Source organism: Homo sapiens, chromosome 15 (genome assembly GCF_000001405.40).
Source record: "Homo sapiens chromosome 15, GRCh38.p14 Primary Assembly".
NCBI classification, from domain to species: domain Eukaryota; kingdom Metazoa; phylum Chordata; class Mammalia; order Primates; family Hominidae; genus Homo; species Homo sapiens.
The window spans coordinates 59,303,067-59,328,456 of NC_000015.10; the positions used below are offsets into that span (position 1 = coordinate 59,303,067).

The 25,390-nt window shown below is 43.9% G+C and overlaps 1 protein-coding gene across 1 annotated transcript in view, besides 2 other annotated features; it reads right to left on the minus strand.

Annotated features, from left to right (window-relative positions):
* MYO1E (myosin IE) overlaps positions 1–25,390 on the minus strand; it is a 240,438-nt gene that overhangs the window by 170,633 nt on the left and 44,415 nt on the right. The gene's annotated exons all lie outside the window — the stretch shown is intronic.
* Positions 1,151–1,327: a silencer, noted in NCBI's record as "fragment chr15:59596416-59596592 (GRCh37/hg19 assembly coordinates)". NCBI's record gives its function as "represses an EF-1alpha promoter that drives an FKBP-Casp9 reporter gene in an ReSE screen in HepG2 liver carcinoma cells {active_cell/tissue: HepG2}" and the evidence as "EXISTENCE:reporter gene assay evidence [ECO:0000049][PMID:32094911]".
* Positions 24,755–25,104: an enhancer, noted in NCBI's record as "active region_9487". NCBI's record gives its function as "activates an Ori minimal core promoter by ATAC-STARR-seq in GM12878 lymphoblastoid cells {active_cell/tissue: GM12878}" and the evidence as "EXISTENCE:reporter gene assay evidence [ECO:0000049][PMID:35858748]".

Below are 25,390 nucleotides of genomic sequence, written 5' to 3' on the forward strand. Positions count from 1 at the left end.
TGCCTGGCTGGTATTTTGAGAAGCCAGCTTGGCAGGTGAGTTCCATGCTGCAAATAAAGTCTTCAGCTTCAGACCCTCATCAAGTCTAAATTTGATTGTTAGAATTAGATGTCAGCTTGATAAAATCCATCATCTAAAATGCAAAAGCCAGCCTGAGCAACGTGGCGAAACCCTGTCTCTACCAAAAATACAAAAATTGGCCGGGTGTGGTGGTGGCATGTGCCTGTAGTTCTAGCTACTTGGGAGCCTGAGATGGGAGAATCACCTGAGCCAGGAGGTCGAGGCTGCAGTGAGACGGGATTGTGCCATAGTCCTTCAGCCTGGGCAACACAGTGAGACCCTTTCCTAGCTACTGAGGAGGCTGAGGCAGGAGAATTGCTTGAACCCGAGGGGCAGAAGTTGCAGTGAGCCGAGACCGTACCACTGCACTCCAGCCTGGGTAATAAAGTGAGACTCTGTCTAAAAATAAAGAAAGAAATAAATAAAAAGGAAGAAATTAAAAAAGATAAATAAATAGATACATAAAATGCAAAAGCAAGAGGCAACAGTGCCTTCCAGATCTCTCCTCGGAGTAAGCAGCATAATCCCACAGCGAGATGGTATCTGCGAGTAGTGGCACTGAAGTGTGATCATCTCGCATTTGCCCCTCTCCCTGGCTCACAAATGTGACAGGGAAAGGCGGTGGCACAAAACACCAGGCACAGTGACTGCACACAAAACCATTGCTCAAAAGCTACTTGTTCTACTGAGTCGGCAGTGTAGGACTCTCTTCTGATAAAATTAACAACAACAGCAGGAATATAATGGCCCGTTTCCTGGATATATGGCCTTTCACAGTTAAGAGTTTCCATACACATTAAAGTGATGCCTGGAGGAGTATCAGGCAGGCGTCTCTATTTTCATTTTCTTTTCTTTCTTTTTTTTTTTTTTTTTTAGAGGGAGTTTCGCTCTTGTCACCCAGGCTGGAGTGCAACGGCGCAATCTTGGCTCACTGCAACCTCTGCCTCCTGGGTTCAAGCGATTCTCCTGCGTTAGTCTCTCTAGTAGCTGGGATTACAGGCACACACCGCCACGCCTAGCTAATTTTTGTATTTTTAGTAGAGATGAGGTTTCACCATGTTGGTCAAGCTGGTCTCAAACTCCTGACCTCAGGTGAGTCATCTGCCTTGGCCTCCCACAGTGCTGCGATTACAGGCGTGAGCCACTGCGGCCCGCCTATTTTCTTTTTCTATATGAGAAAGGTGAAGGTCAGGTACGTGGCCAAGGTCACATATAAAGCAAAAGGCAGGGCTGGGTTCCTACGCTACTGTTTCAGTTGGCTTCTTTCCATCTCTTCACAAAACTGAGATGATGGTAACCTTGGATTAACTGGAGCTGAAATATGTGCTAGAATTTCCCTTTAGACCTCCAAAGCCCAGTGAAATTTTTATAGGTGCTACTAGAAAAAGGGGCTTTCTTCTAATTATTTAGGTATGACACAAAATAAATCATGTCATCTTTGCCTTCTTTTTCCTCATTTCAAATGGATGTTGCATCATGGATTCAGCATAACTTTTTTTTCAAGGGGGCTCTGCTGAAACTATGCTCTGTTGCATCCTTAGCCCGTGATCTGGTTAGGGCAGAAATGCCCGGGAATCAGGCTCTTGGTTCAAATTACCCTCCCTAGTACAGATCAAGCGGGACCTAAGACTGCAAAAGTATTTACTGTTGTCAATTAAGCTACAAAATAAGCTATTCATTGACCTTGGCTCAAATCAAATCCTAGAAAATGGAACTTGTCTTTACCCTGTCATAATCAAAATTATGGGTCCTACAGGAAACTTTTTTGTGTCTGTGCTCAGAAAAAAATATGAAGTGGCTTTGCTTTGTCTCTATTTACCATGGTTTCACCATGACCTTGTCCAAGGTCAGTGCTCTGTGAGTCGGCTTATGGCCAACAGGAAGACAACATGGCCGAGCTGTGAGCACCTGACCAGCGTCGAGCAACACTGTGAACGAGTGGTGTATAGCGTCCACTGTCACCAGTTCCTGGAGGTCAGGGCTTGCTTTTTTCTTTCTCAAACAACTGCCTCTAAGCAGCCTTCATATCTAGCAGAATGTCAAAGAAGATCATTCCACAATTTATTTATTATTTATTTATCTATCGAGATGGGGTTTCACTCTGTCGCCCAGGTTGGAGGGCAGTGGCATGATCTCAGCTCACTGCAACCTCTGCCTCCCGGGATCAAGCAATCCTCCCACCTCGGCCTTCTGAGTAGTTGGGACTACAAGCACACACCACCATGCCCGGCTAATTTTTTGTATTTTTAGTAGAGATGGAGTTTTGCCATGTTGCCCAGGCTGGTCTCGAACTCCTGAGCTCAAGTGATCCGCCCACCTCAGCCTCCCAAAGTGCTAGGATTACAGCCATGAGCCACCACGCCCAGCCTATTCCACAGTAACTTAAATGAAACTTCTACTTAGAGAAACGAAAAATACAGCCAGTATTAAACTGCCCCTTGAACTCCCCAGCAGATGAGATAAACCCTGAGTCACAACTTTCTTGCCTGACTTGTCTCTTCCTCTATTCAGATTTCCTCCCATCTGAACAACTGGCTCATGGACAGACAGAGGCTGACCTGTGGCAGCAATTGTGAGCTGTGCTTCCTTTCCTTGAGTTATAAAATCTCGGGCTTTTTATTGGACACACAGTTACCCAGAATAAAAAATTCATTCCCAGCCTACCATGTAGTTTAGATGTGGCCGTGTGACATAAGTGGAAGGGGTGTATTCAAGTTCTAGGACATTCAAAATTAGGAGGTCTTGATCAGAGCTTCACTGGGGGCCCATAAGGATGAGGACAGACCAAGGCCATACCCTAAGGATGGCAGAGCAGGAAAACCAGACAACTGCAGAGCTACACAGCAGCCTTGAACTCCCTCCATCCAGAATGTTAAGTGGGAGAGAAATAAACACATGCCACAGTAACAACCAATAAAACTCCCTCGTAATTACAGCTGCATATTCTCAGGTGGGCATTTTTCTATTTAAATGCGATAAAATTAAATTCAACCCCAGAAGTTTTTCTATGGCACCAGGTTTACACAAATCATTTGCAATTAAATCCCTTTGCAATATGTTAGTGCTCACTTCTCAGAATCCAAAATAAGGGAAAAAATCTGTTGTAGATTATTACATGTACATTATTATAGATTACCTGATTGTATATTTCTGTGCTCACTAATTGTTTTATGAGTATATTTATGGTCTTTTCCATTACATAGAATATTTCTAGTTTTCACCTTTTTGTCTTACTCTTTCTTTCTCAATAGCCTAGGGCACATTAATGAAAGCATAAAAGATACTGAACGAATATATGTTTTAATGAGCATTTAAAGACTCTATAATGTAATCATATTTTAACATTTCTCCTTCATTCACTCACTCCTCATCCTCGTCTGAGATACTCAGGTTGTGGATGGAGGAAAATATATGCCTCAGCTAAATGGCAAATTGCCATGGGGTTGCTCCACAGGTTGGCAAAACCTCAAATGCTAAATTTGTGAGTGCCAAGGATTTAAATATATAAAATGCCTTTATTTGTGAAAGGTCTCAAAGGACTTTGCTCATTGTTGATTCATCATATCCCTTAGGTTTGCAAAACCATTTGCAATTTACAAAGTACTTTCACACTCATCATCTCAGTCCTTGGAGTCAGGCTGGATATTAGGGACTGACACGTTATCAACAAGGAGCCAAGATGGTGAGGCACGCCTGGTGCTCATGCTCATGAGTTGCTCATGATGTCATTCATCTCAAAAACCTGGTGTGTGAATGGCCCTTTGGGTTATTTTCCTGGTCTCCCTGTTATGAGCAGCGTTGCAGCAAGCGTTCTCATTCCTGTATCTTTGCAGCCTTGAGCTAATACTTCTGTGGGATGGACTTCAAAGTGGAACCGCTGGTCAGAGACTTGAGAACGGGATGCAAGCATATAGAAAGAGGCACTGGGAAAGTCTTCCTGGCAGGAAAATGAAGGAGAGCACCAAAGCATGAAGTACAGGAGGCAGGCCTAACGAGATCATCATTTCCAGCTTTTATTTAACTGAAAATGTAGGCTATTGCTTCCCAGCTTCAGAGTGAAACTAAGTCCAAGGGGACATCACCCAGGGAGCTGCTGGTATGGCCTGGGCATTGGAACTCTCCGGGCATCTCCAGTGGCACATGAGCATAGGCTACCTCACCAGATCCCTCAGCAGCTGCACCAACACCCTGGGCCCGGGGAGGATGAGGTTCCGCACAGTCGTTTTCTATTGGAAGGAGAACACGCAGGAGCTTTGGCTTACAGACAACAGCAGCTGGGCAGCTGGGGCTGGCCACCATGGGAAAGGGACAGAGCAAGAACCAGATTCTGTCAACTTTAATCTACGTTAATCCTGCTTATAATTCTGACATTTCCTTCCCACCTTCACTCTCAGGGTTTGCTTCATAGACTCTAAGACCCCTAATCTAGCTATTTGGGTGAGTATATTATTTGTAAATGATTCCAATGAGTTTAGTTTTTGTTTTTGGTTTTGGTTTTTTTAAGACGGAGTTTCGCTCTTGTTGCCCAGGCTGGAGTGCAACGGCGCGATCTTGGCTCACGGCAACCTCTGCCTCCAGGGTTCAAGCCATTCTCCTGTCTCAGCCTCCCGAGTAGCTGGGATTATAGGCATGCACCACTATGGCCGGCTAACTTTCTATCTTTAGTAGAGGTGGGGTTTCTCCATGTTGGTCAGGCTGGTCTTGAACTCCTGACCTCAGGCGATCCACCCGCCTCAGCCTCCCAAAGTGCTGGGATTACAGGCGTGAGCCACCACGCCTGGCTCCAGTGAGTTTAAAACAAATCCTTGGGGCTGGCGCGGTGGCTCACGCCTGTAATCCCAGCACTTGGGGAGGCCAAGGTGAGCGGATCACTTGAGGTCAGGAGTTCAAGGCCATCCTGGCCAACATGGTGAAACCCTGTCTCTATTAAAAAACAAAAAACAAAAATTAGCCGGATGTGGTGGCATGCATCTGTAGTCCCAGCTACTCGGGAGGCTGAGGCATGAGAATCACCTGAACCCAGGAGGCAGAGGTTGCAGTAAGCCAAGATCATGCCACTGCACTCCAGCTTGGGTGACAGAGTGAGACTCTGTCTCAAAAAAAAAAAAAAAAAAAAAAAAAAAAATAGGCTGGGCATGGTGGCTCACACCTGTAATCCCAGCACTTTGGGAGGCTGAGGGGGGCAGATCGCCTGAGGTCAGGAGTTCGAGACCAGCATGGCCAACATGGTGAAACCTCATCTCTACTAAAAATACAAACATTAGGCTGGGCACAATGGCTCACGCCTGTAATCCCAGCACTTTGGGAGGCCAAGGCGGGTGGATCACCTGAGGTCAGCAGTTCGAAACCAGCCTGGCCAACATAGCAAAACCCCGTCTCTACTAAAAATACAAAAATTAGCCAGGTGTGGGGGCCCACACCTGTAATCCCAGCTACATGGGAGGCTGAGGCAGGAGAATCACTTGAACCCGGGAGGTGGAGGTTGCAGTGAGCCGACATTGCACCACTGCTCTCCAGCCTGGGTGACAGAGCAAGACACCATCTCAAAAAAAAAAAAAAAAAATTAGCTGGGCATGGTGGCAGGTGCCCCTAATCCCAGCTACTCGGGAGGCTGAGGCAGAAGAATTGCTTGAACCCAGGAGACGGAGGTCACAGTGAGCGGTAATTGTGCCATTGCACTTCAACCTGGTGACAAGAGCAAAACTCCATCTCAAAAAAAAAAAATCCTCTAGAGGGATTTGTTTATTATTTATTTATTATATATTTATATTTTAGCCCCAGAGAGGCAGAATTGCAGAAAGAGCTCTGGGCCTCAGAGAGTCAGAAAACCTGTTCGATTAGCTGGGCTTGGTGACGCATGCCTGTGGTCCCAGCTACTTGGGAGGCTGAGGTGGGAGGATAGCTTGAGCCTGGGAGTTCGGAAGCTACAGTAAGCCATGATCACACCACTGCACTCCAGCCTGGGTGACAGAGTGAGACCTTGTCTCTAAAAATAAATTAAAAGAAAAAAACCTGGAAGAAAGAAGAGAAGGAAGATTGATGGGGAGGGAGAAAAGGGATGATTGTGTACTATGCACTAGCTCTGAGCCCGGCACCTTACATACATTAACTGATGTCTATCCTCAGAGTAATGCTACAAGAATGGTGTTGCTGCTCCATTTACTGAAAACAAAATGAAGCTTCCATAAGTTAAGTGTCTCCTCACAATACTACAACCCCCAAAAAAGCAACTAAAACAACAACAACAACAAACAGGACTTGAATTTTCTGACTTGTCAAAGGATTTTCCATTGTTCCAAGATTGCTGTGTAAACTAAACAGATGCAAAAACTGTTTACTAAATGCTACTGAAGAATAACAGGACATCATGATGGTGATGCCATGACCTGCAACACAGGTTCACTAAGAATTTTTGAGTCTCCCTGGAGGTCAGCCAGCTGTGTATTCTCAGGCTGGACGACGGCCCTAGAACCGCCTTGTGAGAAGTCCACTCAGTATGGCAGTAGCTGCCATTCCCTGAGACATCTACACTCCGTTTAGAGAAATCTTCCCAGAAAGGCCAAATGTGTGTCTTTCTGCCTTTAAAATATCTTTATTCACATGCATTTCTAAGGTTGCCCTTCGGTTTCTTCCATATCATTTTCACCTTTTTACCCTTCTTGGCAGCACATAAAGCATAACTTAAGTGGGTAGAGACAAAGAGAAGCTTGTCTGGATAGGCCTTCGTATATACTGATAGGGATTATATACCCCACCCACCACATTTGTAAATAGGCTAAGAATCACCCTTGATCCTTCCTCCCACTACATCAGATCTTAGTGGTTCTCCTTCAGACCCACCCCTCGACTACTCCCCTTTCCTCTCTGTTCTCACAGCCACTGCCTTACTTAAGGTCCCCTTATTTCTCACCTGCAATAGCGCCCTAACTCGTCTTTTTGGTCAGTTCTCCACAGCCTGCTGCTTAGGTCCTGTGCACCTTCCCTTCATAATTACTTAAGTGAGCTGCTAGTATTACTTACTCTAGGTCCAGGCAGCTTCCTAGCGCTCACGAAGAACACATGACACTGCCAAGTTGACCAGCTTGAGTGTGGCAGCAAACCCACTGCCCCCTTGAGTCCTAAAATGATAAGGTGCAGCGAAGTGTGTATCTGTTGTGGGTTGCACTGTGTTGCCTCCAAAAAAGACATGTTGAAGTCCTAGGCCACAGTATCTGTGAATGTGACCTAATTTGGAAATAGTCTTTGCGGATAGAATCAAGTTAAGACGAAGTCAGCAAAGCGGGCCTTAATCCAAGATAACTCACGTCCTTAAAGAAGAGAAGAGACACAGAAACAGACACAGGGAGAAGGTCATGTGATGATGGAGGCAGAGATTGGGGCGACACAGCCACAAGCCAAGGAATGCCAAGGCTGGCCAGCAACACTAGAAGCTGAGCAAAAGCATGGAACAGAATCTCCCCAACCTTCGGAAGGAGCGTGGTCCTGATGCCCATGCTGATTTTGAATCCTAGCCTTCGGAATTGTGAGAACACATTTCTGTTGTTTTAAGCCACCAGTTCATAGCAATTTGTTAAGGCAGCCCTAGGAAATGAATTATAGTATCTAAAGAAAGGTGGGAAGGGCTGACCACCAAGATGAAACAAGCCTTCGTGCCCAAATTCCTCTGCTTCACCAAGTTGCCTTTGGTAGTTTCGTATATATACTCTGTAAGAAGCTAGTGGTCTCAGAATTATGGTTCTAAAGAACAAATGTGATTTTGTTAAAAACCTCCACTTTCTGTAGGACAAATTCCAAGCAAGCCCTTAGTGTGCCATGTAAGCCCTCTCAAGTCTGGCCCCAACCTGCCTGTCCCACGTACTCATGTACTCATGATCATCTTCCCCCTCCACTTCCCTGCCTGCATGCTGACCTCCAGCCATCACTCTGCCCTGGAGTCCAGCAACTGATTCTCATGCACAGTAGACAACAGGCATGGTCAAGGCAACCATCCAGGGTGGCCCTGGATGTCCATCATAACGAGCAAAACCACAAGGTCCTTACTCTAGAACAGCAGTCTCCAACGTTTTTGACACCAGGGACAGGTTTTGTGGAAGACAATTTTTCCATGACAGTCATAGGAGTGGAACGGTTTCAGGTTGAAACCGTTCCACCTCACATCATCAGGCATTAGATTCTAATAAGGAACACGTCACCTAGGTCCCTCACATGCGCAGTTCATAACAGGGTTCGGGCTCCTATGAGAATCTAATGCCGCCACTGATCTGACAGGAGGCAGAGCTCAGACAGTAATGCTCACTCATGCATGCTTACTTCCTGCTGTGCATCCCAGTTCCTAACAGGCCACGGACCGTATTGCCCAGGGGTTGGGGACCCCTGCTCTAGAAGACCAGAAGTTTGGGCAGTTCTGAAGCAGGCAGAAGGACCTGCAGCTTTGGGCACAGAAATCACATGAGTTTACCATATAAGAACCATAAAGCTTAATTTGGTGGGTATCTCTGGCACTATATATCAGGCAAGCCCAGTTGGTGTTATAGGCAACGTTATGATTTAAACGTGTCTTCCAAAGTTCATGTGCTGAAAACTCAATCCCCAATGCGACAGTGCTGAAGGTAGAAAAAGGGGGAACCTTTAAGAAGTGACTAGGTCATGAGGACTCTGCCCTCATAAATAAATGGATGCTGTTATTGTGGGAGTGGGTTTGTTTTAAAAGTGAGTGTGGCCCTGTCTTGCTATCTCTCACACACTTTCTCACTCTTTCTCGTGCACGCACTTGCCATATGTTGCTTTCTGCCGTGTTGAAGCAGCAAGAAGGCCCTCACTAGATGCAGCCCCTCGATCATGAACTTCCCAGCCTCCAGGACCAGGAGAAATAAAATTCCTTTTCATTATAAATTACCCAGTCTGTGGTATTCAGCTATAGCAAACCAAATGGACTACAACACTCAGCAATATATTTTCTCTCTTAATTCACTTTGAACTTTCATCACAAAATAAATAATTGAGTCCTGTGCTTGGCTCTGTGCTAAGTTCAAGAACACACATAAGAGCATCTAAGGGATGATCGTGTTCACAAATCAAATCAGTTCAGTCTAGTTGGGAAAACAATTATCATGCATCAATCTGAGCATACTACAAGGCAACAAAAGAAATTTTAGGGTTTCATTTTTACAACTGAAAGAGTTCAGAGAAGAGAAAAGATCGTGTGCACTAATCAGGAAAGGTTCCGTGGAGGAACAGGAACTTGGGCCGAGCCTGGAGGAAGCAGAGGACTCAGCCACTGGGACGAGGGGGACTTTCCAGGGACAACACAAATGAAGAAACAGAAGCATAAAGGAGCAGCTGTCACTACTGCTGTGAAAAACCTTGCGTTTAGAGCACCATTCTTTGTTTTTTAAGAGACAGAATCTTGCTCCGTCACCCTGGCTGTTACAATGGCATCATAGCTCCCTGCAGCTTCAAACTCCTGGGCTCAAGCGATCCTCCTGCCTCAGCCTCCCAAAGTGCTGGGATTAGGCGAGAACACCATCCTTGATCATGCTAGTTCACAAAATGGGGCCCCCAAACCAGCAGCATCAGCAACACCAGGAAACTTGTTAGAAATACAAAGTCTTGGCTGGGCGCAGTGGCTCATGCCTTGTAATCCCAGCACTTTGGGAAGCCGAGGCAGGTAGATCATGAGGTCTGGAGATCGAGACCATCTGGCTAACACAATGAAACCCCGACTCTACTAAAAATAATAATAATAATAATAATAATACAAAAAATTAGCCGGGCATGGTGGCATGCCACCTGTAGTCACAGCTAATCAGGAAGCTGAGGCAGGAGAGTCGCTTGAACCCGGGAGGCGGAGATCACGCCATTGCACTGCAACATCTTGGGCCCCACCCTAAACCTGCTAAATGAGATGCTCTGGGCATGGGGGTGGGGCCCAGCAATCTGTGCTTTAACAAGTCCTCCCGTAGATTCTGGTGCTGGCTAAGGCTTTTGAGAACCACTGCTTTAGTGAGAAGACTTATAAATAAGTTTGTAATTATCTATTCCTACAGAAGAAACATTGAAATCATCTCCAACTAGATTTCATTTAGCTCTTGATATAACCCAAATGGGGGTCCACATGAAGGGAGAGTCAGTATATGGACATATGTATCCCCCAACACACACACAGACCAAATCAGCCACCTGACTGCCAGGAAGCAACTGTTAATACGCATCTGAAGGATATTTGGAAAAATTCATTATTTAAGGAAGCAACACAGGTCTGATGTCATGGTTCTATGGGACAAGAAATCTTCTGTACTAACGATAAAGTGACTTAATTGTGGTTATCTAGGACCCTGAAATAATAATGGGAGTACAGATGCAACTACCCCACCCCCGCCCCACCTCCAACACTCCATCATCTTTCAGTGATCATTCTGTGGCATGTTCTCCTATCTCCTATGCTCACATCCTAGAGATGAGGGTACATGCTCTTTTATTTCAAGCTCTTGTTTCTGAGAACCTCCAGCAATTCCCAACTTCCACCATTCCTGCCAAATGAAGGCTGGATTTATTTTGATTTGTGTTGGCTCTGTAGCCCCTTGTTAAGTAAACTAGGACTCTGTGTCTGGCCAATGCATTCACGAAGAGAAAAATAGAAGGAATCAAAGTGAATTATAGGGAGAGAGGGAGGGGGAAGTTCCCTGGAAGTCTAAAAGTAGGAACCAAGGATGGTATTTTTGGCTTGGGACTTTCTGTACCACATGAAATTATGAGAATGACTTAATTGCTCCTGTGCATTCGAAACCTGAGAGAGACCATAATGGCTGGGTTACGCCCAGACTGACTGGAACAGGAGTTAGACAGCGTGGCCTCCTGCCAGCTAAACCTGCTCTGCAAACACAAGTGACTGCATCATTCATGCTTTCAGGCCTGGGCTGAGTCTGATGATGGCCGGTGTTGCTTTTCTTCCTCAATCTCCCTGGACTAGACAGGGCAGAGTATGTTACAGAGGACTGTCATTTTAGGGGTAGCCAGAGGGGCAGAGGTGGGCTCCAGAATCCTTTCTCTACCTCGCTATGTGCACTTAGGCAGCCACTTAAACCATTCTGTGCACCCTAGTTTCCCCATCCCCTGAATATGAATGACAACTCTGTGCCTTAACTATTTCACACAATGCTGGAGAGAATAAACTTGAGAAAACAGATTCAAAGAACTTCTGGGAAGTGAAGATTGTTATACTATTGATAGTTATTCCTGGACTCTCTTGTTTTCACACAGTGTCTTTTGCATCCCTCCTTCCCACATACTGTGAGGGATACCTATTGAGTTGCCTGCCCTGATTCCCTCTCTGCAGGAGGTAGCAGCCATGATGGTTAATGCCACCCTGCCACCTGGTCACAGGAGAAGGCCTCTGACCCAAGCCAGACCAAGTGATCTCACTCCCAGAAATGGTATAATGGAAAGATTTAGGGACTGAGTGGTCAGTGGCTTAGGCTCATTATACAACCCAGTGATTTTCACTCCGGGGCAGCTCTGCTCCCCAGAGGACATTTGGCAGAATATGGATTCATTCTTGGTGGTCAGACTGAGGAGGGGGTACTACTGGTATCTAGTGAGTGGATACCAGGGATGTAGCTAAACATCCTCCTATGCACAGGACAAACCTCCACAACAAATAACTCTCTGGCCTAAAATGTCAGCAGTGTCAATGTTGTAAAACCCTGGCTTAGGTGACTGCTGGAGGTAGAGGGGCTGAGGAGGAGGCAGCTTCCATCTAGCTCCAGCCAATTGTTACCACAGGCGGGGTGGCAGGAGGAATGAGGCCTCAAGGTTGCCTGGTCTGATTTTTCTAGAGAAGCTGGAAATCTGGATTTCCATGAGTAACCTTTTGATTTTTAAGCACCAGCTCAATTTTTAATAAACGTATGGGCCAAATAAATACATCTCCAGGCCTCATGGAGCCTGGGGGCCACCAGCTTACAGCTTCTGATGGGGAGAGGAGACCCAAAGTCTCCTTTACTTGAGCTTTTTGAAGCTATCTGGCTTCTCCCCTTCCTTGGATGTTGTGAGGCAACAGACCATGATTTTTTTAAGTAAGTTCTCTGTGTTGCCTAAACAATAGCTTCCATTACATGTGCCCCCAAAAGCCTTAACTAGTACACAACTCCTACCTGTTTCTCTCCCACTCACTTCTTTGGCTACATGTTTTGACCTGATTGCCATCCCCATCCACGTAAAACATTTTAATCTCAGAACTGGAAGGGGTCTTACGAAAGGTCTACTAGTTAGGGTGGGCGGGGGAGAGTATTAGGAAAAATAGCTAATGCATGCTGGGCTTAATACCTAGGTGATGGGTTGATAGGTGAAGCAAACCACTATGGCACACGTTTACCTATGTAACAAACCTGTACATCTTGCACATGTACCCTAGAACTAAAAATTAAAAAAAAAAAAAAAAAGTCTAGTTCTGATCTGCCAAGAAATAACACTGGGTAAGTTACTTAACCTCTCTGTGCCTCAGTTTCCTCATTTGTAAAACAGACATGATACTTATATCACTTCATCAGACTGTGAGGAAGATTGAATGAGCTCTTGTATGTGCAATGATTAGTTAAAATGATCACATTAACCTCTTCCTTGAATTCTTTGCCTTTGGAAATAATGCCCCAATGCTGCTGCTGTTGCTGTTAATAAAAATATTAAAATAAGCACACTTAGATTAAGATTGGTGTTTATATTTGTCTGAGGCTTAGCATAAAAACTTGCAAAGGTGGAATTAGAGCACTAACTTGAACTTTCTCAGTGACAAATAAGCTGCGATCCATCAGCTTACTCAGACACGTTTTTGTAACATTTTGTAGACACTGAGGAATACTTTTGCACTGAGGCACCCGTGGGCCAACAAGTACCAGAGTGGTTTGGCTCGTGGTGATTCTGAGAAGGAGCCTGAGCAGCAGGAGACAGAGCAAGTAAGGAAAGGGCAGCTGTCAAACCATCAAACCTCCACTTGCAAAAACCGAAAAAGCATACAAGAAATTCTTGGGCCAGAGTGCAACAATCTCTCACCATCTGAAGAATTTAGTGTATCCAGGTTTATGGCTAATCTAACCTGTCACAAGGGCTGTGGCTTTCTTTGCTGAAGCCAAATCATTCTGGCCTGAATTCTTGCCAATACCACTTGACCCTCATAAAAGTCCTTGACAGCAGAGTGGATGCCATTTTTCCCTTGGCTTTGAAAAGCTTCCTTGCCGGCACCCATTACAAAGAGAATAGGGTCTGCTCTCCAGACTGGAGGCCAAAATGCTAATTAACTCATACCCAAGTCTGCCAAAAAAATTTGTGGGCAGCACTCTTTCTTCCCAGCAGTCACTATTATAGCAGTATTATAGAGAGAAGAGAAAGAAAGAAAACGAATGGAAATGAATAAAAGCCAGAAAGAATTCTGATATTAAGACCAAATAACTGCATACGCTTTTTTACATTTGTCTTTCCTACATTATTTATTTTTTATTTTTCGGAAGTCTGATCACTTCTTGCCCATATAAACTGGTCTTTCAATTATAAAATTTATCTTGTCATGTACGGATTAGACATCAATCCTCTTGCTTTCCATAGCGAACTTCACAGAGGATTTATGTGAGGTCTACAGGATCCGTTAGCAAGTCTTTCAAAATATTTCTATGAAAACACTGTGCTTTGTAAGGAAGATATCATACAAAGCAAATAATGCAACTATAGCAGGGAAATAAATCTGGAATCCACCCAAGTACCTGTGAAAGTTGGTATTAGTAAGATACCACTCCTAAATGTAAATAACTTCCCATGGTCTTATCAGCAGCAGAGCTAAATAAGATGCTCTTATTTAGTAACCTCAGTAGCCCAGGAATAATCTAGAGTATTAAGTTGTCTTCTTGCTAGGAATAGCTTCCTCCCTAGGCAGAGAAAAAAGTTCACCTGATGTTTGTATATGCCAAAAGGGGCATGTACATTCCAATCTTTATCCGTCTATCTATCATCCATCCATCTACTCGATAAATATTGAATGCCAATTAATGGTCCAGATACTTTGCTATAAGTTGGCAGATAGAGATGAACAAGGCACACACATTACCTGCCCTCATAGAGCTTACAGTCCAATAAGGCAAACACAGAAGTAAACAAGCAATGCTAACAGTCTGATAAGAGCTGTGTATGCTAAGACATACCCTTTTCTCCCTCCTCCCTAAAGAAACCTGGAACAAGGTGCCAAAAGCTGGTAACTAAGTAGAATTTAATCTGGCATGAGTCATGATAACATGTAGGATGCTTAGGGTAAACTCTAAACTCACAATCACTAAGGGCAACGCAACAGAGAAAGTGATTTGGGAAGACAGCAGCAACAAGAGACCTCCATAAAGAAGGCTCTTGTGGTAGCATATGCAAGATGACCACTCAGGCCAAACCTAGTATGACTATACAAACTGTTATCAGAGGGGCAGTGCTGATAGTTTCAGTTTCAGGACTGCCCCATATTAGTGTGAAAGTCTGGGTACAGGTGGAATTTCTGTTCTTCGGAACAGTAAACCCTGTGTAAGAAAGGGAGGCAGAACTGGGGGACAGATTTAGGAGAACAAATTTTCTGGCTTGTCAGGGCCTAGGGGTGCTAAAGATGAGCAATGGAAGAAGAGATGGAGAGAATGCTGGTGTGACAGAGCGAGGGCGTGAAACAGTCAGGAACTTTTCTAAGTCCTTCATGTGGGCTAATTCAATATTTACAATTGAGCTACATAACCTCATAAGGCAGGCACAATTATTGTCACTTCCATTCTACAGATGTGGAAACTGAGGTAGAAGGTTATGAAATTTGTTTCAAGGTAGCTAGTAAGTCATAGAGCCAGAATTCAAACGCATTCAGCCTGGTTCTCTAGTTCAGTGGGGCAGAAGAGTTTAGATCTGCCTAAACAGTAAATGGGGAGTCACTGAGGATATTTAATCAAGACACTGTGTAATTACAATTGCGATTTCATGAGTGCATGTGGTCACCACATGTAGGACGAACCAGAGGGGAAATGGAAGATAAATGGCATTTAATGAATGCCTCTGGTATACCCAGGCCTCTCCAGCCATTATCTTACAATCCTACCTCATTACCCAACAATCACTCTAGAAGAGGCAGACATGGAGGTCCCATCTTCCTAGTGCTGGAACTAAGTCTCGAAATGCTTCAATGTCTTGCCCATACACTCCTGTATGCAATAGAATTGAGCCCAACGGAGACTACCATGAAAGCCCCTGCTTTTCCCACCACACTGTCCTGGAAATGCTAGACACAACAAACTAGGTAGTGGTTTTTATAATTGTCAAAGCAAGTGGTCATGAGAACTGGAGGACTAAAGGATGGTAGACTTGATAACTGATCAGACATGAAAATCATACAAGAGATTAAAACCAAAAAACAAAAAAGATTTCAAAATTATTAGTCTAGAAGACTTGCATTGCCAGTCATAGACATTTGGAAGTTACAAAAGAGGAAGATGTTTTTGTTTTACTGCAGTTTGGGGGTAGAGAGTAGTAGAAGCCTACCAGAATGTTGACTAAAAATACTAACATTTATTGAGTACTTACTGTTTGCCAGGCAGTGTACTAAGGACTTCACGTGCACCAATTAATTTAATCCTCACAAAACTCTTTGAGACAGATGTTGTTATTATCCCCATTTTAAAGATGAGGAAAATGAGAAAGTCACTCAAGATTACACGAAGAGTAAATTGCAAAGCTGGACTTGAACCCAGGTCTATCTGACTTCCTGTCTTATAGAAACTGGGCATTTTAAGCCTCAGAGAAGACATGACAGTGGGTTAAGAAGACTTGCATGACTGGCTCATGCTAGAGAAGCAGAACCAGTATGAATGGGTAAGTGTCATTTTAAAATATATTTTAGTGGCTGGGTGTGGTGGCTCATGCCTGTAATCCTAGCACTTTGGGAGGTCAAGGCAGGTGGATCACTTGAGGTCAGGAGTTTGAAACCAGCCTGGCCAACATGGTGAAACCCCATCTTTACCAAAAATACAAAAAAAAGCCTGGCATGGTGACAGGCACCTGTAATCCCAGCTACTTGGGAGGCTGAGGCAGGAGAACTGCTTGAACCCAGAAGCCGGAGGTTGCAGTGAGCTGAGATCGTGCCACTGCACTCTAGCCTGGGCAACAGAGCAAGTCTCCATCTGAAAAAACGAAAAAAAGAAAATTTAGTTCAAACATGAAGTTTCTGTAATAACTTTTCTGTATTCTACCTTGAAAAGAAAATAAATGCATATTTTATAATTATTATAAAATAATGCAATTGCCCTGACATTTCTAGTAAGTTTAGCTGCTCAAAAATAAGCAGGCTTGGAAGTTTTAGCCAGAGCTATCAGGCAAGAGAAAGAAAGAAAAGGCACCAAGATAGGAAAAGAAGTCAAACTACCTTTTTTTTTTTTTTTTTTTTTTTTTTTTTTTGGCTGATGTTATGATTCTGCACCTAAAAAACCCCAGAGACAGCCAGGCACGGGGGTTCATGCCTGTGATCCCAGCACTTTGAGAGGCCGAGGCATGCGGATCACCTGAGGTCAGGAGTTTGAGACCAGCCTGACCAATATGGATAAACCCTATCTCTACTAAAAATAAAAAATTAGCCGGGCATGGGGGCATATGCCTGTAATCCCAGCTACTCAGGAGGTTGAGGCAGGAGAATCACTTGAACACAGAGGCAGAGGTTGCAGTGAGCCGAGACCATGCCATTGCACTCCAGCCTGGGCAACAAGAGCAAAACTCCGTCTCAAAGCAAACAAACAAACAAAGAAAGAAACACCCTAGAGACTCCTCCACCTCGAACTGACAAGTGACTTCAGTGAAGTTCACGATACAATATCAGCATACAGAAATCAGTAGCATTTCTATACACCAATGACATTCAAGTTGTGAGCCAAATCAAGAATGCAATCCCATTGACAATAGCAAAAAAACTAAAATACTTAGGAATACATCTAACCAAGGAGGTGAAAGACAACTATAAGAACTACAAAACACTGTTGAAAGAAATCACAGATGACACAAACGAATGGAAAAAACATTCCATGCTCATCCATTGGAAGAATCAATATCGTTAAAATGGCCATACTGCCCAAAGCAATCTACAGATTCTATGCTATTTCTATCAAACAACCAACGTCATTTTTCACATAACTAAAAAAAACTATTCCAAAATTCCTATGAAACCAAAAAAGGGCCCAAATACAAAAGCAATCCTAAGCAAAAAAGAATAAAGCCAGAGACATCACATTAACTGACTTTAAACTATAGTATAAGGGTACAATAACCAAAACAGCATGGTACTAGTACAAAAATAGACACATTGACCAATATTCTGTTCTCTGTTCTGTTCAACAGAGAACCCAGAAATAAAGCTGTACACCTATAACCATCTGATCTTCAACAAAGTTGACAAAAATAAGCAATGTGGAAAGAACTTCCTATTCAATAAATGGTGCTAGGGTGCTTGGCTAGCCATATGCAGAAGAATAAAACTTGACCCTACCTTTCACCACATACAAAAATTAACCCAAGATGGATTAAAGATTTAAATGTAAGACCTCAAACTATAAGAATAATAGAAGACAACCTAGGAAACACCACTCTGGATATCAATCTTGGAAAAGAATCTATGATTAAGTCCTCAAAACAACTGCAACAAAAACAAAAATTGACAGGTGGAACCTGATTAAACTAAAGAGCTTCTGTACAGCAGAAGAAACTATTAACAAAGTAAAAAGACAACCTACAGAATAGGAGAAAATATTCACAAACTATGCATCTGACAGAAGTCTAATATCCAGAATCCTTAAGGAACTTTTAACAATTGAACAAGCAAAAAAACAAACAATCCCATTAAAAAATGGCCAAAAGACATGAACAGATACTTCTCCAAACAAGACGTACAAACTGTTAAAAAAATGAAAAAATGCTCAACATCACTAATTATCATAGAAATACAAATCAAAACCACAATGAGATACAATCTCACACCAGTCAGAATGGTTATTAGAAAGTCAAAAAACAACAGATGGTGGTAAGGCTGAGGAGAAAAGAGAACAATTACACACTGTAGGTGGGAGTGTAAGTTAGTTCAGTCACTGTGGAAAGCAGCTGGGAGATTTCTCAAAGAACCTAAAACAGAACTATCATTCAACTCAGCAATCCCATTACTGGGTATACATCGAAAAGAAAATAAATTGTTCTACCAAAACGACACATGTACTTGTATGTTTACCACAGCACTATTCACAATAGCAAAGACATGGAATCAACCTAGGTGCCCATCAACAGTGAATTGGATAAAGGAAATGTGGTACATATATACCATGGAGTACTATGCAGCCATAAAGAAGAGCGAAATCATGTCCTTTGAAGCAACATGGATGAAACTGGGGGCTATTATCATAAGCAAATTAATGCAGGAACAGAAATTCAAATACCCTATGTTCTCACTTAAAAGTGGGAGCTAAACATTGGGTACTCATGGACATAAAGATGGCACCAATAGACATGGGGACTACTAGAGGCAGGAGAGAGGGAGGTGGGTAAGAACTGAAAAACTAGTTATACCCCATATCTACAAAAAATACAAAAATTTGCCAGAAGGCTATGTGGGAGGCTGACCTGGGAGAATCTCTTGAGCCCAGGAGGTTGAGCCGAGATCACACCACTGCACTCCAGCCTGGGTGACAGAGTGAGACCCTGGCTCAAAAAAAGAAAAGAAAAGAAAAACTGGCAGGGTGCAGTGGCAGGTGCCTGTAATCCCAGCACTTTGGGGAGGCCAAGGCAGGCAGACCACCTGAGGTCAGGAATTGGAGACTAGCCTGGCCAACATGGCAAAACCCCAACTTTACAAAAGTACGAAAAAAATAGCTGGGTGTGGTGGCGGGCACCTGTAATCCCAGCTACTTGGAAGGCTGAGGCAGGATAATTGTTTGGACCTGGGAGGTGGAGGTTGCAGTGAGCCAAGTTCACACCACTGCACTCCAGCCCGGGCAACAGAGTAAGACTCTGTCTCAAAAATTAAAAAAAAAAAAAATAGAAAGAAAAGAAAAACTAACTATTGGGTATTATGCTCAGTACCTGGATGACAGTACCCCAAACCTCAGCATCACGCAATATACCCAAGTAACAAATCTGCACATGTACCCCTTGAATCTAAAGTAAAAGATAATGTGTTTTGTGTCACCTTTTCAACATAAGAAACTGTCACCATGAAACTGTATCTATACTTACAAATTGCTCTGAAAATTTTGACCTTAAAAGCTATTTTTTAACTTGAAAAGTAAAATTAAAGGTAAAAAAGAAACCCACAGCATTTTTCACTAGAGAAGACCAAATCTTTTGTGGTTAAACAATCCAGATCATATGAGTGTTTAGTCAAGTGTTTTTCAAGTTCAAAGTGCTTACCTAGCATGTGTAAGAAGGAAGCCATGAGAGCCAGAGATGGGCTGAAAGGAAATTGTCCTGCTTACCTGGCTATTTTAAAAGCATAAGTGGCTCTGTCAGAGGGAAAGTGAAATCTAATAGAGTCCTGACACAGATTGTATTGATTCTAAAAAGCACATTGGGAAAAAGAAAAAGGTACATGGGTTTTGAGTTTGTTTGTTTTTTTTCCATTTAACATATCTTAAACCAGAATATGTCTTACAACAGAAGACATGTCTTAATTTAGTTAGCAATATTTTTCTTTTTTAAAGGTATATAAGAAATGGTGCTTTCTGGCCGGGCACGGTGGCTTACGCCTACAATTCCAGCACTTTGGGAGGACGAGGTGGGCGGATCACGAGGTCAGGAGATCAAGACCATCCTGGCTAACACGGTGAAACTCCGTCTCTACTAAAAATACAAAAAAAAAAAAAAATAGCCTGGTATGGTGGTGGGCACCTGTAGTCCCAGCTACTCAGGAGGCTGAGGCAGGAGAATGGTGTGAACCCAGGAGGCAGAGCTTGCAGTGAGCCGAGATCGCACCACTGCACTCCAGCCTGGGCGACAGAGCAAGACCCCATCACAAAAAAAAAAAAAAAAAAAAAAGGTGCCTTTTGAAATATCAATGGCAACCAAAAATGGAAATAAGATTGACAGAAAAGAAACATCTGTTCCTAAAACCAAACTAAACCAATGGTTTTGATGAAATATGGTAATTTCTGAACATGAAACATAAACAATTTCAACAAGGGAATTGACATTCAGATTTAAAATTAAGGGTGATATGGGCCAGGCACAGTGGCTCACACCTGTAATCCTAGCACTTTGGGAGGCCGAGGTGGGAGATGGCAAGGTCAGGAGATCGAGACCATCCTGGTTAACATGGTGAAACCCCGTCTCTACTAAAAATACACACAAAAAAATAGCCAGGCACGGTGGTGGGCGCTTGCAGTCCCAGCTACTCGGGAGGCTGAGGCAGGAGAATGGCATGACCCCGGGAGGTGGAGCTTACAAGAAGCCGAGATCGCACCACTGCACTCCAGCCTGGGTGACAGAATGAGACTCCGCCTCAAAAAAGAAAAAAAAAAAATTAAGGGTGATTTGGAGAACGGCTGTGTGCATTTGTCTGATGACTGCACTGATGTTGCTGTGTGCTACAGGGCCCCAGCACACTGGAGGGGAGGAGGACCTGGAAGTTAAGGGAAAATAGCAGGCTTGGGACAAAGGGTGCAGCCAGAGAGGGGTCTGGCTGCCCATAAGAGCCCCTGGGGGGCTGTCACCTTATATTATTACTAGAGCTTGCGGGATGTGTGTTCTGAGTTTGAAGCAGCAAAGACCCTTCATGAGCCCACAGTGACTTCTCCAGCTCCATGGTGAGAAAGCCACCAAAGGCAGGAAAAAAAAAAACAAAAACGGAATCCTCGAGAGAGCTGAGATTCAAGATCTAATCTGGGCAAAGTGAGGGATCCTCCCTTGTGCCCTCAGTTCTCAAGAACAGGACCCACTTTGGCCACAAATCATAAGTAAGAAAAGAAGGCTCAGCCGACAGAACGTGAGACAAGTACATATATCCGTGTGGGCAGTGAGGCAGTGAATGACATCTAAACTGTTAGAAAACCCAGACTCCAATTAATTCTATTCTGCAGTGTCCTAGGTCTGCAAGCATCCAAAAGTGCAAGCATCAGTCACATCCGTTAAGAGAGAATATGTTTTCAAATTAAAAAAAAAGGGAGAATATCCAAAAGAAAATCAATGACACTATCGGAAAGGGGGCCACCCCTCGCCTATGAGCAACACAAGTCTGTGGAGAGCCTTGTGCTAAACCACCCCAAAATGACCTGCTTCTGGGTCTGGGTTTTAAAAGAAAAAAATCAGGCTGTCTTTGGAGTTGGGCATGTTCTGGGGAGCATCGGGGATGCTAGAGTATCTGGGTTGGTTCAAGGGGAGGAAAAGGTAGAGAAGAAGCACACCTCAGAGATGCTGCCAGATAGAGCTCCTCAAGTTCAAGGTGACATTCTTCTCCCTGAAACCCAGGTGGGAGAAAGAGCTGTGTCTCGCCGTATTTATCCCCATCCCAAGCCCCCCCCCCACAGAGGGCAGCATACAGCAGAGCCTGAGAATTATTGGTTGGATGAATGCTCAAGTGCTGCACCTGCTTCTTTCAGACTGAGGGGACCTGAGGAGTAAAATTGAGCCTTATGTCCTAAAGACATTAAAAGACTCCTAAAGGCCTTGCTTCTATCAGGGAGTAATTAAGACACAAAGAAAAATCCAGATAGTCTCAACTACAAGTACATTTCCCATTTACAAAACTTCAAGTAATAGCTGGATTTGTTTTTACTTTTAGCACTCTAAGGCTTTTTAGAAAAAAAAAAAAAAAAGCCTTTTGACTGAAGAACTATCTTCCCTTCAGTAGGGTTTAACAATTTAAATGAATTCAATTTCCTTTTCTTTTTTTTTTTTATTTCTGGGACAGAATCTCGCTCTATCGCCAGGCTGGAGTGCAGTGGCACAATCTCAGCTCACTGCAACCTCCACCTCCTGGGTTCAAGCGATTCTCCTGCCTCAGCCCTTCCGAGGAGCTGTGACTACAGGCGCCCGTCACCATGCCCAGCTAATTGTTGTATTTTTAGTAGAGAGAGGGTTTCACCATGTTGGCCAGGATGGTCTCCATCTCTTGAACTCGTTGATCCACCTACCTTGGCCTCCCAAAGTGCTGTGATTACAGGTGTGAGCCACAGTGCCCGGCCAATTGTCCTTTTTAGTTAGGGGATAAAAGATCTCCAAATGACATAACCAGGGATTTCGTGGAAGTGATCACAGCTTGACTAAAGGACTTAAATTCGTGCACAATGAGTCCCAGTCAGTAGGCTGTGACATCAGCTGACCAGCACCTAACTGCACCACAGGTTGAGATTATTTATTTATTTCAACTCCAGATTTTATGGAGTTTGATAGTGCAATCCAATAACACATCTTTTAAACAATAAACACTAAAATGTATACATGTCCAATCATTTTGTTAGCTTTTTTCCATGAAGGAATACTAAGATTTTTAAAAATTAATTTAGCATTTCTTCATTATCTTTTTAAAATTAAATTAGTTAAGATTAAACCATTAATTCCTCCATCCACTGGCCCAGGCTGGGGGAATACTGCTGTGCTTGGTGAGCACAGGAGCAGGTGTCCATTTCCATGGCATCTGTAGTGCTCAATGTCAGCCCACGCAAGTCCTTGAGCTCTCAATATCTGTTTTTCAGTGTCTGACCTGTCAAATGCGGGACATGGATTGACTCCCACAGACCCTTCCAGCTCTAACCCCCATGGCCTATAATCAGGGCTGTCCAGTGAATCAGAATGTGGAGGCATCAAGAATCTTCCCAAAGCACAAAAAGCAACAGCTACGACATTTAAAGTAATGGGAATAGGAAGAGGGAAGTCACCACACATTCTTCATGATCCTGAATTCTTTAAACACCAAAACTCTCATTAAACTCAAAGGTTCAGTTCCTCTTCCATTTGAGTACATTTGTATTATCAGATGCTTAAAGGAAAAACAAAACAGAAAAAAAAAAAACCCAGACAGCTATGTATTTCCCTGAAGACACAAATAATTCACACTTCTCTGGAAAAGCGCACAGTAGAATTGGGTGGGACGGGCATGGTGGCTCACGCCCGTAATTCCAGCACTTTGGGAGGCCGAGGCAGGCAGAAGACGAGGTCAGGAGATCGAGACCATCCTGGCCAACATGGTGAAACCCCATCTGTACTAAAATACAAAAAAAAAAATTAGCCAGGTGTGGTGGAGCATGCCTATAATCCCAGCTACTCAGGAGGCTGAGGCACGGGAATTGCTTGAACCTGGGAGGTGGAGGCTGCAGTGAGCCGAGACTGCGCCACTGCACTCCAGCCTGGCGACAGAGCAAGACTCCATCTCAAAAAAAGGATTATTTGGGTGGTCAGTCTGAACCCATTTTTCAATTTAAAATCACAAGATGTTTTTCAATGTCGTATCGACACGTGATAACTGTTGATTTTTTAATTATTATTTTGAGCCTAAATGTCTCCTAACCAAGAGATTTACATTTTCATGATTTTACCATTCCATTTTTGTCTATGAACCTTGCTTTTGTGTTAAAATATGTACTGCTACTTGCATAATTTATAGCTATGCTTTAATTAAAGATGATGTATTCCTACATAAATTCTTCCCTTTGTCAATATGGTAAAAAGGACATTGGAAACACAACTCGAAAGCGACCTGTTCAGAGTCTACCTCTTATGGGCTGAGTGACCAAGACCTGCCCCCTGCCCCCGACTCTACTGTATGTAAAAAGGTTTTATAAAACAGCAAGTCAGGGAACCACTCAGGGAACAGTGGGGAGAATGTAGGACAATCCTGAGCACCAGGCTTCAGGCAATCAGGCACCTGCACCCAGAGGAACTGGAACCTAGGTGGGGCTTTTCGGGTGGGGTCGCAGTAGGGAAAGAGAACTGAAGAGGTAATGATACCATCTCCCTTTATGGGTAAGGCGTTTTCTCACTTGACTCTTCCACAGAGTGCACACCTCCATGCAGGAGTCTCCCATGTAATCCTCCACCTTGTGTGGACCCAAGACTTTGCTTTCTATTCCCATGGACCCACCAGTGCAGCCGTGGCTCACCGCTGGGCACTGCTAGCCTTGATGCCTGCTTACATCTCCATATACCTGCTTTTTAAAAGGCACTTTGTACATTTTTCTTTTTTTTTTTTTATTTCAGAGATGGGGTCTCACTCTATCACCCAGGCTGGAGTGCAGTGCCAGCCTCGACCTCCCAGGCTCAAGCAATCCTCTCACTTCAGCCTCCTGAGTAGCTGGGACCACAAGTGTGCATCACCACATCTGGCTATTTTTATTATTATTATTATTTATAGACATGGGGTCTCCCTATGTTTCCCAGGCTTGTCTCAAACTCCTGGCCTTAAGCAATTCTCCTTCCTCTGCCTCCAAAAGTATTGGGATTGCAGGTATGAGCCAGCACGCCCAGCCATTTATTTACTTTTTAAACATCACTGTTAAGTGGACAGTGCAGGAGGGTATAGTGGGATGGCAGAGAGACCAGTTAGGAATATCCTAAATCATCCTGACCGAGAATTGCCTCTCCAGCTCGCTGAATTAGGAGGGCAGCTATAGAGTGGGGCAAAGCTGTCAGATTCGATGTATTTTTATAAGCAGAAATAACAAGATGTGCTGACAACTTGTACATGAAGGGGCTGAGGGATGGAGTGAAGTTAAGGAAAGGCCAGGGTGGACTGCCATTTCCAGACATGTCTTGGGAAGGGCTGAAACTTCTCATCAGTGGGCAAAGGAACGTTTGCCACATTGACACCCTCTCCATCCCCAGCACTTCGGAAGCTGTGTTAAAAGAGGAGATGGTGGGCCCAACAGCCTGGGCAGAAGTGTGGAGGCTTACCCTGCTAAAAGGAGGAAGTGGAGGAAAACACAAAGCTCCATGGTGGGGGGGTTCCCCCTCTCAAAGGAGATGGGGCTGGGTGGCAGAGGTGTCAGCAGAGGGTGAGAGAAAGTTCACCCTGACAGATTAACTGGGCAGCAAACGGGCTTGCAAAATGTGGCCTTTGCTCAAACCAAAGGTAGAATGTGAGAGTGGAGTAGTACATTTTCTTGCACTGGGGAAGTGACCTTCTGCTTAGTCCCGTCTACCTCCCAGAGTGTGGACCAGAAGAGAGATTCTGCAGGAGGAAAGAGAACTTGATCCATTGCCAGGCTCAAACCTTCAAGACTTCTGAAAAGGAACCCACCTTCATTGGGGTGGCAAATTGACCAGACAATGAACTTTCTGGCCCCTCTCCCAATACACGCTTGGTACTGGG